Below are 15,347 nucleotides of genomic sequence, written 5' to 3'. Positions count from 1 at the left end.
GAATCATTCTATTTAACTCCAAGAGCAGTGCCAAGTACCACATGGAAGGAGAGCTCTCTTGCATATTATTAATAACTACTCAAGTAGTGGAAGAACACCTGAGCTATGTACAGCACTGGATGGAAGCAGCAGATTCATAAACAGCACAAAGAATCACCCCTGTTATCCAGGAACTCACTCCACAAGGGGGGTTGAAACCTTAGACAGGCAGAGGCCAATCCAGGTGATGTGAGACTGCAGCATATTCTATTTTGAGGATTCTTTTAAAAATTAAGAGTAAAAAACTAAATATAAGAATGAATATTTATTGAGATAAGAAAAACAAATTATGAATTTTAAAAGAACTGACAAATACTATAAATATCATACCATTCAGAAATGTCAACATACTAGTTTTATTAAATAACTGCCTAGTGCCTCTATGATTTTTTTCCTTGCATTTTCTGGCTACATGTGTTTTTATCACCGCTTTGTGCAGAGTTTGTAAAATAATTTTACATGAAGAGAATAGAATATAATTCTTTCATTTTGTATGATTAAACAAAAATTGTTTAATTAGTTAACTGAATTGTATAAACACAACTTCATATATACATGTATTTGCTGTTTGTAGGACGGCAACAGGTTTGTGCCATACAAACACAGAAATTCTAGTATATTCTGATAAATTTACACAATTCCTATCAAAAAAAGCAATTTATCTTCCTTTTTTTATTATTTTTTAAATTATACTTTAAGTTCTGGGGTACATGTGCAGAATGTGCAGGTTTGTTACATAGGTATACACATGCCATGGTGGTTTGCTGCACCCATCAACCCGTCATCTACATTAAGTATTTCTCCTAATGCTATCCCTCCCCTAGACCCCACCTCACAACAGGCCCCAGTGTGTGATGTTCCCGTCTGTGTCCATGTGTTCTCATTGTTCAACTCATTTATGAGTGAGAACATACAGTGTTTGGTTTTCTGTCCTTGTGTTAGTTTGCTGAGAATGACGGTTTCCAGCTTCATTCATGTCCCTGCAAAGGGCATGAATGCATCCTTTTTTATGGCTGCATAGTATTCCATGGTGAATATGTGCCACATTTTCTTAATCCAGTCTATCATTGATGGGCACTTGGATTGGTTCCAAGTCTTTGCTATTGTGAACAGTGCCACAATAAACATATCTGTGCATGTGTCTTTATAGTAGCATGATTTATAATCCTTTGGGTATATATCCAGTAATGGGATTGTTGGGTCAAATGGTATTTCTGGTTCTAGATCCTTGAGGAATCGTCACACTGTCTTCCACAATGGTTGAACTAAGTAACACTCCCACAAACAGTGTAAAACAGTTCCTATTTCTCCACATCCTCTCCAGCATCTGTTGTTTTCTGACTTTTTAATGATCGCCATTCTCATTGGCATGAGATGGTATCTCATTGTGGTTTTGATTTGCATTTCTCCAATGACCAGTGATGATGAGCCTTCTTTCATATGTTTGTTGGCTGCATAAATATCTTCTTTTGAGAATTGTCTGTTCATATCCTTTGCCCACTTTTTGATGGGGTTGTTTTTTTCTTGTAAATCTATTTAAGTTTTTTGTAGATTCTGGATATTAGCCCTTTGTCAGATGGATAGATTGCAAAAATATTCTCACATTCTGTAGGTTGCCTGTTCACTCTGATGATAGTTTCTTTTGCTGTGCAGAAGCTCTTTAGTTTAATCAGATCCCAATGGTCTATTTTGGCTTTTGTTGCCACTGCTTTTGGTGTTTTAGTCATGAAGTCTTTGCCCATGCCTATGTCCTGAATGGTATTGCCCAAGTTTTCCTCTAAGGATTTTATGGTTTTAGGTCTTAAGTCTTTAATCCATGTTGAGTTAATTTTTGTATAAGGTGTAAGGAAGGGATCCAGTTTCAGCTTTCTGCATATGGCCAGCCAGTTTTCCCAACACCATTTATTAAATAGGGAATCCTTTCCCCATTGCTTGTTTTTGTCAGGTTTGTCAAAGATCAGATGGTTGTAGATGTATGGCGTTATTTCTGAGGCCTCTGTTCTGTTCCATTGGTCTATGTATCTATTTTGGTACCAGTACCGTGCTGTTTTTGTTACTGTAGCCTTGTAGTATAGTCTGAAATCAGGTAGTGTGATGCCTCCAGCTTTGTTCTTTTTGCTTAGGATTGTTTTGGCTATGTGGGCTCTTTTTTTGGTTTCATATGAAATTTAAAGTAGTCTTTTCCAATTCTGTGAAGAAAGTCAATGGTAGCTTGATTGGGATAGCACTGAATCTATAAATTACTTTGGGCAGTATGGCCATTTTCATGATATTGATTCTTCCTATCCATGAGCATGGAATGTTTTTCCATTTGTTTGTGTCCTCTCTTATTTCCTTGAGCAGTGGTTTGTAGTTCTCCTTGAAGAGGTCCTTCACATCCCTTATCTTCCATTTATAATTGTATATGTTACATTATTGGGAACATTCTTGACAGAAGAGAATTCCCATTTGACTAAGGCATCAAAGTAAACTGATAACTTTACTTGAAATTTCATACATCTGGCTAAAGGAAAAATTTTCCACTGACTCACTTCTGGTTTCATCATTTGCAATTTTCTTTATTGTCTACCAATGTCGGGCACCTCCAGACAAGCTCATGTCACAATGCAAGCCTGGCTCTGCCTAGTGTGCCAGGAAACTAAGTAACTCAGCATACTGATTAGGGGAGAGTTTCTAGAAACTGTTGCTACACTGGATGACCACCAATATACTGTAAGCCATGTAAACATGTCCCACTAAATCCAAACTAAACATATCCCCAACTTTTCGTCAGCCAAAACCCGGTGACGTTCAGCCAACACTTCCAATGCCACCCAGGATAGAGGAGATGTCAGAGTGAAAAGGATTCATGGCTTTACCTGATTGCATTCCTACAAACAGCAAATACATGTATATATGAAGTTGGGTTTATACAATTCAGTTATCAACTAATAAAAAAATGTTGTTCAGTCATACAAAATGAGGATTATATGCTATTCTCCTCATGTAAAATTATTTTACAAACTCTACACAAAGATGTGATAAAAACACATGTAGCCAGAAAATAATAGAGGCACTAGGATTTCTTTTTCTTTTTTTCTTTTCTTTTTTTTTTTTTTTTTGAGATAGAGTCTCACTCTGCCACCCTGGATGGAGTGCAGTGGCGCAATCTCGACTCATTGAAACCTCTGCCTCCCAGGTTCAAGCGATTCTCATGTCTCACCCTCCTGAGTAACTGGGGTTACAGGCACCTGCCACCATGCCAGACTAATTGTATTTTTAGTAGAGACGGGGTTTCACCATGTTGGCCAGGCTGGTCTCGAACGCCTGACCTCAGGTGATCTGCCCACCTTGGCATCCCAAAATGCTGGGATTACAGGTGTGAGCCACCGTGCCTGGCCAACGTTTCTTATATTTATACGTTTTACAAAAATAGACCTACATTAATTCATTGCTAGCACCCCTCCTGGAACCAGGAGAGGGACCTCTGCAGGTGAGGGGACTTGAAGCATAAACTTCATTAATATCAAGATTATCAGACTCTACAAGCTGGAGAACACCAACAGACTCCTGCATCCAGGAGCTCAGAGGAGGACAGTTCTTTATGGATGGTATTAATGAGAAAGAGTTCCCAAAAGAAATTCTCTTTAGCTGGCCTTTAAGAATAGAAAGTGTTTTATAGTGAGGAATAGAAAGTAAAATACGCTCCAGGCCAGGAACATAGCCATAGCAAAGTTTGGTGTTAGAATTGAATAGAAAGTATTTTTTTTTTTCGAGAGGGAGTCTTGCTCAGCTGCCCAGGCTGGAGTGCAGTGGCGTGATCTCGGCTCACTGCAAGCTCCGCCTCCCGAGTTCACACCATTCTCCTGCCTCAGCCTCCCGAGTAGCTGGGACTACAGGCGCCTGCCACCACGCCCAGCTAATTTTTTTTTGTATTTTTAGTAGAGATGGGGTTTCACCGTGTTAGCCAGGATGGTCTCTAACTCCTTACCTCGTGATCCACCTGCCTCAGCCTCCCAAAGTGCTGGGATAGAACTGAATAGGAAGTATTTTAGTTGGAGTAATAGGAAAGTCAGGAATCAAAATACAATTTTGGAAAAATTAAGATTTGTCCCTTGCATGAACAAAATCTAACACTTTCTGTGTGTTGGCCACATAATTCATTTCCTGTGTTAGCTATACATCACTTTGTTTCTGTGATTTGCCTGTGCCCATAAAACTACATTCACATTATCTCTGTGCTACATTTCAGTATCTAAAGTGGCCACCAGAAGACACTGGTCAGGGCTGTCAAAATGTTGCACGTACCGTGGTCTTGGGCTACCAGTATATCACTCTAGCAAAGAGATCTTCTCTTGGTTTGTACCATATACTTAATGAGCACATCTTCTTTCTTTTTTTGCTTTTTCTTTTTTACCAATCTGAGGTCTAAGAATCTTGAGTGACACAGAAAGTTGATTTTTTTCTCTTACTTTATACGCTGAAGTCCACTTCTGTTGGTTTCTCCATTTACGTGTGGGTAAATGTGTTGTGACGTCTTGTCACCAAAAAAAGCCAGCTAATCTTATCTCCCATGCACTTGCTCTTTTGAATAAGGAGTGAGGAGTCCTCTGGATAATTTCTCCCAATGACGGCAAGCTTTTGTAGAGGGCTTGCTACTTGTCCCACTCTGTATGTGCTGCTTTACATGTTTCATTGACTCATTGTGATTCTGAAGGTAGATATTATCTCTATTTTATGTAAAAAGTTAATTTTGTGCTTTACATAACCTGAGAGCTAGGCCAGGCCACAGAGTCTGGGATGGGTTAAAAAAAATCTATAACATGAATGCCCTCAGGTGCTCCACTCAGAAGGGGAACATGAGCCAGCCCTACTGCTTGAGATCAGAGATTCCATTGAGGTTTCCCCACTCACAGAAGGAGGCTGAGAAAACTGCTGCCAACTACAGGCAAGGATATACCTTTATGCAAGCTACCTGGTGATCAGGAAGTGAACCAAGCCTCTTACACATGACCATCTGTGATATCCTCTATGTCACTAAAATGGCAGCTCAGACTGGACTACAGGACTAAAGACTCAGTAGAAGCAAATGTAAAATTGCTAGGAAGTGAGAATTGAGCACTAAAAAAAGGAGAATATATATATATTCCTACCAAAATTAGCTCACAAATCAAAATTCTAAAACAATGTAAAAAAATTTAAATGTATAAAAGATAGGCAAATATCAACAATTGGAACATTGATTACTCCAGAGATAGTACATTTTGTGGAACAATCTAAGTAATACTATAAAATAAATAGGTTTAGAATGTCCACTGAAACAGAGTAAGAAGTATGAAAGAATGAAAGGCAGAAATAAAACAAGAACATACAGATAAATTAGGGAAATAAAAATATGTATGTAAAGACAACTCAGTAAATGGGATGAACTCTAGACTGAACACAAAGAGAGTATCAGTGAATTAGAAGTGTGCTAATGAATGCACCCAGGTTAGGCCACGGAGTCACAGAGGAAATAAGATTAAAGTGTTTTGTTTCCCTCCACTTATATGACAACTCCCACCTGACTTCTCTACCTTACTACCTTCACAGCTCTCACCCTGTCCCTTATAAACCCACCTCTAATCTTGGAAGACTAAAGAGCTGAAAAGAAAGAAAAAAACAAACTTGGTTTTTCATGCATGCTCCATGAACGAGAAGGTTTTGTAGAAGGGAGTAAGTGCAGACACCAGACTGAGCACAGGGACAGAGAGCAGACCCTGTAGACCCTATCAAGAAGGCAGCATAGAAGAGAGCCCTGAGTGCCTTGGGAATGGGTGGGAGTGAGGGTGTTTGAGGACATTATGCCCGGAATCTAGCACTTGCACCTTCTTATTTGGGGTCTTAAAATTAATGCGGGCTAAGCTGATGCTAGGGCGTGGGAGGTAAGAGGTGAGACTGGCACTGAAGAGGAAAGTATTTTCCTAATTTTTAACTTTGCTCTGTATGCCCTTTATTTAATGTGCTTTCACAAATGCCCTATTTCTTATCCTGTAGCTGAGCTAATCATTGCTTATTTCTGGGAGATGTAAGCAGGCCTCTGTCTAACAGAGGGGCCTGAAAGGAGAGAAGGGGCCCAAGTGCCAAGACAAAGACGGGCTCTCTAAATCCAGGAAGGATAAGCACAGCTCCCCAAAGCCTTTCTCCCTTTTTTGGTCCAGCTTGCAGGGAGTCTCAATAACATTATTGGAATATTAGCAGTTACAGCTGGCCACTCTACAACCAACTTGTCATTCTATTTCCCGAAGGAGGCTGATTTCACACAAAGGACCACGGACTGGTAGTCAGAAGACCTGAGTTCTGTTCCCAGCTCCAACACACATTGCAGCAAGACCGTGGTCAAATCACTTGCTGTTTCTGAGACTTATTTTCTTGCTCTGTAAAAATGAATCAGTGAACTAAATCATCTGAAGTGATCTCCCCTGACCAGCTCCCTCAGCCCTCACCAACAAAAAACTAATGTCCATGATACAACACTATTGCTATTACATTATTCAATTAATCTTAGTGTGCTTAATTGAAAGACAATAATAACTTTCTCCTAAAACTGGGGCAAAAACTGCATTAGGTAATTAACTAAACTGCTTGCCTAGAACATAGCAGGTGTTCAATAATAGGTTTTTACTATTTGCACTTATTTGTTAATGAGAAAGAGAACTAAAATCTTGTATTAAAAAGTTGTACTTTGGCTGGGTGCAGTGGCTTACACCTGTAATCCCAGCACTTTGGGAGGCCAAGGCAGGCGGATCACGAGGTTAGGAGATCAAGACCATCCTGGCTATCAGGGTGAAACCCTGTCTCTACTAAAAATACAAAAAATTAGCTGGACATCGTAGCATAGCTGTAGTCCCAGCTACTTGAGAGGCTGAGGCAGAAGAATGGTGTGAACCCGGGAGGCGGAGCTTGCAGTGAGCTAAGGTAGCGCCATTGCACTCAAGCCTGGGCGATAGAGCGAGACTCCATCTCAAAAAAAAAGTTGTACTTTAGCCTTCCAGGAACTCGGAAATTGAAGACATAAGAGCTTGATTACAGAAGAGGAGTCCAAAAGCAGTGACAGCTTTGTTAAGGGGTGGGCCTAGACCAGGCAAGATGCTCAGCGTGGCTTGGATTAATGAAACAAGTCTCAGGCTAGAGGTCAAAGTATCTTAGAGATACTATAAGTTCTGGAGGGTGGGGTTAAAAGTAACCCCCTACAGGGTCAAGTTTTTAGGCTTCCGATAGGGTTTGGCTGTGTCCCTACCCAAATCTCATCTTGAATTGTAACTCCCATAATCCCCACATGTCACAGGTGGGACAAGTGGGAGGTAATTGAATCATGGGGGTGAGTCTTTCCTGTGCTGTTCTTGGATAGTGAATAAGTCTCAGGAGATATGATGGTTTTATAAAGGGGAGCTCCCCTGCACATGCCCTCTTGCCTGCTGCCATGTAAGATGTGACTTTGTTCTTCCTTTGCCTTCTGCCATGATTATGAGGCCTCCCCAGCCATGTGGAACTGTAAGTCAATTAAACTTCTTTCCTTTGAAAATTACCCAGTCTCAGATATGTCTTTAATAGCAGTGTGAGAATAGACTAATACAGCTTCCCAAGAAAGAAGGCTTTTGTATTGTCTGATATCTATCTACCATTGTATCTATATTTCTAGCAGTATGTTTCTGTATAACTTATATATAAATATATTAGTATTTATTATATATAATATATAAAGTATTTATTCATATAAATATATAATTTTCCCATCTCTCTATCTCCAAAAGGCCCAAATTTCTACCCATCTCCCATGTTTCTAAATCTACTCTCCACAGCACTGACCAGGCTGAGCTCTTTGGCTGTAATCAGTGGGTGTGAGCGAAGTAAATTAGCATTGCTATATTATGAAAAAAAAAATAATTTTACAATTATAGAGCAACACTATTCTCTCAAAACTCTCCCAACTTCCTCTTCTCCTGCCAAAACCAAAAACAACATAAACACATCCAAAACCTCACGCCTCACTTTGATAAAAATAGAAATAGGCTTCACAATGATTATACATAACCAATTATTCTGGGTTTACCATTTTTTATTGTGCTAGAAATGTTCTTTTTATAGTCAAATAAAGATAATTTTTGCAGCATCCTCTATTTCCCCAAAAAAACAAAACTGATTGAGTCTGGGTTACAAAACAGAACCTGGGGGCTGTCTCGTTTTATTTGTAAGCTTAGCATAAGAAATAAAAGCCATGTGATATGCTCACACATCTCAGGTTAGGATTCTTTGATCTGTGTATGTTGGATTTTATATACTCATACTACAAATAAAGTATCTTCTAAATAAATATCAAGAAATTCCAGTCTCCTTGAATATTTGTTGGACTGTTCTGTCTGCTCTCTGAATATTCAAGGAGTAGGAAAGTAGTTATTTCTCTAGCAGCCACTATGGTATTTTCTCAAACCTAAGGCATAAGATTTTCCTTTCACATTTTCATGTTTTTTAAATCAGAAGTATCTTTATAGTCAATCTATAAAGTTTATCTATATAAAGTCCTTTTTCTGCCTTCTCCATCCTCTTGTAAATTAATAAATTCTGAGACTGTCATATAAAATATGGTACTTTAGAATGTTGAAAACACAACCAAATGATTGCATATGTTTTTGATTTGACTTTATGAAGCAGGTATATGTATCCCCATTCTAAAGAAAGAGAAACCAAGATACATTGTGCTTCAATAACTTACCCGAGATAATTTACCCAAAGGCACACAAGCTATGTGGGGACACTCATAATTGGAATTTGCTTCTGTCTGCTTCCTATTGTAGTTCAGCCACATTAAAATGTAGAAAAAGGCAGAGAGTAGATGTCTTCCAGAAAGACTGCAGCTGGGACATTTGCCCTCTAAAAATAAGAGACCCTATTTGTTATCCTTGTTTTTTGCTTTCCCCAATATCAAAATTAGCTGGAATAATTGTGAAATGCATACAAAGTGATTTCAATTTTTTTAATTATTCCATAATAAGAAAGTTATTTTTATTGGCCATTTTATTGTATATTTTTAACTGATTAGTAGGACATATGAGAGACCAGTGACTAAACACCTTCCTGAGAATAAATGCTGCCATGTTGCTATAGAATGCTGTGACTATAGTTTAGACTTCCCTGGTAGAAAAGCAGGTGACAACATCACACCACATTCCAGGTACTAAGAAGATGGTATAACAGCTGCTGAGTCTTACGTTTCATTCCTATTTGGGTGCAAACTATTCCCCCTAAGCAGCTACCCATATCAGTCAACTCTTTTTCCTGAAATCAACAATACACGTAAACATCTCCCTAAAATGCTAATTTAGTTGCTGCTGATGCTACTGCAAAGCACAGTGCATTCACTGACTTCATTAACTGAGTAATCAGGGAAATCGAGTGTCAATAACTCAAGCACAGATTTTGTGTAATAAAATTATTGTTTAATTCTGTAGATCTCAGTTTTTCTGTCCTCATTGCAGAAGGATGTAAGTACATTTTCAGTCTGTAATCTAGCGTCATAAGCTGTCCCAGAAGAACCCATTTTGATTGAAAAAAATACCTTCTCCCTGTAAACATTAGCCTTTAAAAATAAAAAATAAAATGTTGCTAGATTGGGGGCCAATTATCCTGATAATTATCTAATTGATGTAAATGTATTCACCCTAAGTGTGTAATAACAAAATGTCACTTAAGTATTTTGAAAGATCTTGTGTAATTTCATTATTTATAGGATAACCAAAGGAGGAAAAGTAATTAAATGTTTATAAGTCCTGGGCATATATTGTCAGGGAATGGGGGTGGAATTCAGGGCAGAAATTGAGAGCATCAAGTATCTCAGGGCCCCAGGGCACAGATCTGTTTATTCCCAGTGAGATCCAATATTCAAGGTTGAAAATCCTCTTGGGAGAGAGATTATAATATTAACTCAATAAGAGAAAAATCTTCTCCTGGGCTGTGATGTAGAGAACAGAGCACTGAGTACTTGGAATAGGTTAGCGCAGGGGAAGAAACACTCAGACAGGGAAAATAGTAAAAGGGGTCAGCCAGAGCCACAATATGAGTGACTGCAAGGAACAAGCAAACCATGTTACCTGCTATCCTTCAGGCAGAGACAAGGGAGAAGTTTCTTCTCTCTCTCTTCTCTGCTGAAGTCAGACCCTGCAGCAGTCCATCAACAGGGTCTCAATTGAGGTCTGAAGAACGGGGTGAATGAAGGGTCAAAGAATAGGTTTGTCAACACTGCCAGATCACTGGCTTCAATGTGCTCTTCCATTTGGACATTCTGATGACTAACGCGCATATTCAATATTCATCAATCAATGAACACCCAGGATGCTGAGCTAGTGCTGAGTGTTTTCTGTTCAGTTTCCTAAAACCAGATGCTCAGGCATATGGAGATTAATTAGCATTACTGTCATCAGGCCTGCTTGTCACAGTCACTGTTGGTGGCTTTAGCCTTAGTTTAATAAAAACCATGAAAGACCCATGTTTACACTAGGGATCGAGATTTTTTTTCTCTATTAACAGCAATTATCCTACAGAAAATTCAAATTAATCAAGAGTCAGAGATGAATAAATAGTAACATTATTGGCATTTTCAAAGAAAATGATTTGTGCCTATGCATATAGGATCAGAGATGGGAGAGTTGCTAATCAAAACAACAAAAGTCCAATATAGGCTGGCATCATATTCCATTTCATTGAAAAAAATAAAATAAAATATAGCTAAAGGAGATTAATTTCACTCAGACAATCTAGCTACTAAATGGCTTAAACAGAATTTTAATGCAGAACTGTTTAATCCATGCGATAACTAAAAATCCAATATCCTATTATTAGAGGTCCTATATTGGAAGGAATAAAGGCTAAAAACTTCCCAAATTTGAAGAAAGATATATATCTAAGAATTTAATAAGCTGAGAGAAACTTAAGTAAGATAAGCCTTAAAAAAATCCATGCTAAGACACATTGTAGTTAAATTTCTGAACACTGAAATCAAAGACATTAGCTTGAAAGCAGCCAGACGGAAGTAAAGCATTATCTATAGAGAAATACAAATCAGGATGACAGTAGATTTTTCATCTGAAACAATGAAGGACAGAAGGAAATGGCACAATGTTTTTCAAGTACTGAAAGAAAAGAACTGCCAACTGTAAATTCTATAACTGGCAAAACTATTTTTCAAGAATGAAGGGAGAATAAATGCTTTCTCATATGAAGAAAAGGTAAAATAATTTGTCACTTAACAGACGTACCCTTACAGAAAGACTAAAGAAAATTCTTTAAAATTATAAAAAAGAGAAATCTTAGAGTGTCAAAATAGTCAAATATGAGAAATGAGAAAAAATAGTAATGAAAATAACCGAAATATTGCTTGATATGGTTTGGCTCTGTGTCCCCACCCAAATCTCATCTCAAATTGTAATCCCTGCGTGTCAGAGGAAGGGCCTGGTAGGAGGTGATTGGATTATGGAGGCAGATATCTCCCTTGCCATTCTCATGATAATAAGTGAGTTCTCATGAGATCTGATGGTTTTAAAGTGTGGCATTTCCCCCCTTGCTCTCTCTCTCTCCTGCCACCATGTGAGATGTGCCTTGCTTCCCCTTAGCCTTATGTCATGATTGTAAGTTTCCTGAGGCTCCCCCAGACATGTAAAACTGTGAGTCAATTAAACATCTCTTCTTCATAAATTACTCAGTCTCAGGAAGTTCTTTATAGCAGTGTGAAAATGGACTAATACATTGCTAGTCACAATAGACTATTCTCTTGATGAGTTTTCTCAATCTTATTTGAGGAATTAAACAAAAATCATAATGAATCTGTACTCATCAGCTCAGGCTGCCATAAAAAATACCATAGACTAGATGACTTAAACAACTGGAATTTATTTTCTCACAGTTCTGATGACTGGAAAATTCAAGATTAAGTTTCTGGCAAGGTTCAGTTTTTTGGTGAGGATTCTCTTCCTGGCTTGCCAATGGCCAACTTCTCCCTCTGTCCTCATTTTGCCTTTCAAAGGTGTGTACTTGCAGAGGAAGAGGAAGCACTCATTGGTGTCTTTCTTTGTAAAGACATTAAGCCTTTTAGATTGAGGCCCTGCCCTGATGACCTCAATTATAAACTTAATTATAGACACTATCTCCAAATAGAGGTGACCTTTGAATAATATCTGGGCTTCCAGAACTCTGGTGCAGTTGAAAATCCATGTATAACTTTTGGCTCCCCAAAAAGTTAACTCCTAAGAACCTACTACTGGCCCAAATCCTTACCAGTAACATAAAGAGTGATTAGTTTGTATTTTGTATGTTATATACATTATATACTATATGTGTTACAGTAAAGTAAGCTAGAGAAAACAAAATGTTACTAAGAAAAATATAAGAAAGTGCAAATATATTTACTGTTTATTAAGTGGAAGTGAATTATAAAAGTATTCATTTTTGTCATCTTCACATTGAGTAGGCTGAGAAAGAAGAGAAAGAGGAGGAGTTGGTCTTGCTGTCTTGGGGTACTTTATGGTAATAAATAATAAAATATACTACTATCTATATAGACTTTATACATTCATGACACATTTTTTTCTTAAATTTTTAATAGTTTTAGGCTATGGGATTTATCTGCTTTTTTTTCAAATTTTTGAAAATCTCCCAAAAACCTTTAAAAATATTTATTGAAAAAAATCTGCATGTAAATGGACCCAGGTGGTTCAAACTCATGTTCTTCAAGGGTCAACTGTATAGCCATACTGGGTGTTAGGGCTTCAACATACGAATTTGGAGGGAAACACAAGCATTCAGTCCATAACACCATCTGAAACTCAAGACAATGGTATTTCAGTAGTGAGGATGGTAAAGTGACCCAAATGGAAGTGAGACTTTCATGCTACACTCAAAGTGATAAAATGTTGATATCAATCGACTATAAGACATACAGAGAAATATATGTATATCTGTATATATAGTAATACCAAGAGCAACCATTACAAAATTATACCAAGCAATGTACTAAAAGATATGTTAAATAAATCAAAATAAATTCCTTAAAATATTCAAGTATCTCACAGGAATAAATGATAAATAAAACAGAAACCAACAAAGAAAACAAATAATAAAACGGCTTATTTAAGCCCTAGTAAATTTAAATGTACATAATCTAAATACACCAATTAAAAAACAATAATTGGCAGAGAGAATAAAAAAATAAAAGCTGCAAATATGAAGTGGCCCTTAAAAGGAGAAGGGGCCTTTAGTGGGGAGATTATAAAGGCAGGTTAAAAACAAACACACACGAATCTAATCCAGTCTTTGCTCTAACGTCTACCTTCTATTGTCTCTCTGGAACCAAGCTGAGTATGCCTGAGTATCTAAAATTGTTATTTCAAATAAGGACTCAGACTAAAACTTGAACAACTTATACTCTGCTGCATCAATTGGTAGTTGCTCTAATAAATAAAGATTGAATGCTCCGGCTGTTCAAATAAGACATTAAAGCACTCCACTCAAAAACAATTGATTGGTTGACTTGATATTTGTGATGGTTAATTTTGCCAACTTGACTGGGTTAAGAGAAACCTGGATTCCTAATAAAATGTTATATCTGAGTATGTCTGTGAGAGTGTTTCCAGAAAAGATTAGCAATTGAATCACTAGACTGAGTAAACAAGATCTGCCATCACCAGTGTGGGCAGGCATCATCCAATTCATGAGGGCTGAGACAGAATGCAAATTCAGAGGAAGGGAAAATTGACTCTCCTCTCTTCTGGAGCTTGGTCACCTATCTTCTCCTGCCCTAGGGTGTCAGAATTCCAAGTTCTCCAGCCTTGGGATTCCAGGACTTATACTAGCATCTCCCTCCAGCCACACCCAACCAATTACATCACTGGCTTTCCCAGTTCTCCAGCTTGCAGACAGCATATCCTGGGACTTCTTGGCCTTCATAATTACCTGAGTCAATTCCCATAAAACAATCTCTTCTTATATATCTAGATATGAAGGGGCTTCAAAAAGTTTGTGGAAAAATGAGGTTAAAAGGTAAAAATAGTATATGAACTTTATTTCTCAACATAAACTTCATCAAGGTCAAGATATTTTCATAAACAATGACCAGACATTTAGTCCATACCTAAAGAACTTAGGGTCCTGGGATTTTAATCACGTAAATGACGTCTTTTTCACGTTATTAAGTCAAGAAAAATGGGTTCTCTTTACAGATTTCTTAAGATTAGGAAACAAAAGGAAGTCAGAAGGAGCCATATCAGAACTGTAAGGTGGATGTCTAATAATTTCCTGTTGAAACTCTTGCAAAAATGACTTTATTTAATGAGAAAAATGAGCAGGAGCATTGCCACTCTGGTGAAGCTTTTTGGTGCATTTTTCTGTTAAAACTTTGGCTAACTTTGTCAAAGCACTATCATAATAAGTCAGTGTTCTTGTTCTTTGGCCCTCCATAAAGTCAACAAGCAAAAATGCCTTGTGCATCCCCCAAAAAAACTGTTGTCATAGCATTTGCTCACGACTGGTCCATTTTTGCTTTGACTGGACCACTTCCACCCCTTGGTGGTTATTGTTTTGATTATGCTTTATCTTCAGGATTGTACTGGTAAAGCCATGTTTCATTTCTTGTTACAGTTTTTCAAAGAAAACCTTTAGAATCTTTATCCCAATGGCAGCCGCGGGTTGTTTGGTTCAGCCACTGCCATCACACCGGCCACTGCAGGGAGGGCACATGGAGGAGGCAGAGAGCACCACCCCCATCCCCTAGCCAGCCACCCAGAGGGCCGCCACAATGGGACTGGGCTAGGTCACATACCAGGTAAGGGGGAGCTCCAGGCCACCCCTGAACACCAGGGCCACAGGGGAAGCTCACCGCAACGTCGCCCCTGCCCTGGATGCAAGGACCTGGAGCCCCAGCCCCAGGCTGTGAGGGGGCGTGGCCGGGTGCTGTGCTCCCTTGAGCCCCCGGGAGCCAGGGACAAGCAGGAGCCCTGCCTTTTCCAAGCTGGCAGGGTGGGAGCTCCCCAGGTGAAACTGCAGCCGCCCAAGCCCCCAAGTCAGTGGCTGCAGACCAGACCCCGGCCTCTTGCTACACGGAGCAGGCAGGAGCCCCGCCCACACCCCTGGCAGATGAAGTCGCCCAAACTGGAACTGCAGACCCAGGCAGTCCCGCACTCTTGGGGGACCTGGGAAGGCGCCCCTGCCCTTGCAGGCTCAGAGGTGCCTGCTCCCACTGCCTGGCCTCTCCCAACTCCTGGCACTCACTCCAATTTCGGAGTGCAGTTCCGGCCAACCCCAGG

At 39.0% G+C, this 15,347-nt stretch overlaps 1 long non-coding RNA gene across 2 annotated transcripts in view; it reads left to right on the top strand.

The window, feature by feature from the left end:
* Positions 1 to 14,797, top strand: part of LOC105373451 (uncharacterized) — a 39,122-nt gene extending 24,325 nt beyond the window's left edge. Inside the window, exon 4 of one of the 2 annotated variants that reach the window (XR_001739301.2) lies at positions 14,683 to 14,797. This is a non-coding gene — a long non-coding RNA (uncharacterized LOC105373451). Of the gene's footprint in view, positions 1 to 6,305; positions 6,499 to 14,682 lie in introns of those variants that run through there. The other variant, XR_939766.3, reaches the window with a different exon arrangement.
* Positions 14,798 to 15,347: the final 550 nt, after the last annotated feature.

This window comes from Homo sapiens, chromosome 2 (assembly GCF_000001405.40).
Source record: "Homo sapiens chromosome 2, GRCh38.p14 Primary Assembly".
NCBI lineage: Eukaryota > Metazoa > Chordata > Mammalia > Primates > Hominidae > Homo > Homo sapiens.
Note: the sequence above shows the minus strand (reverse complement) of the source record. Positions and strands in the feature narration are given on the sequence as shown.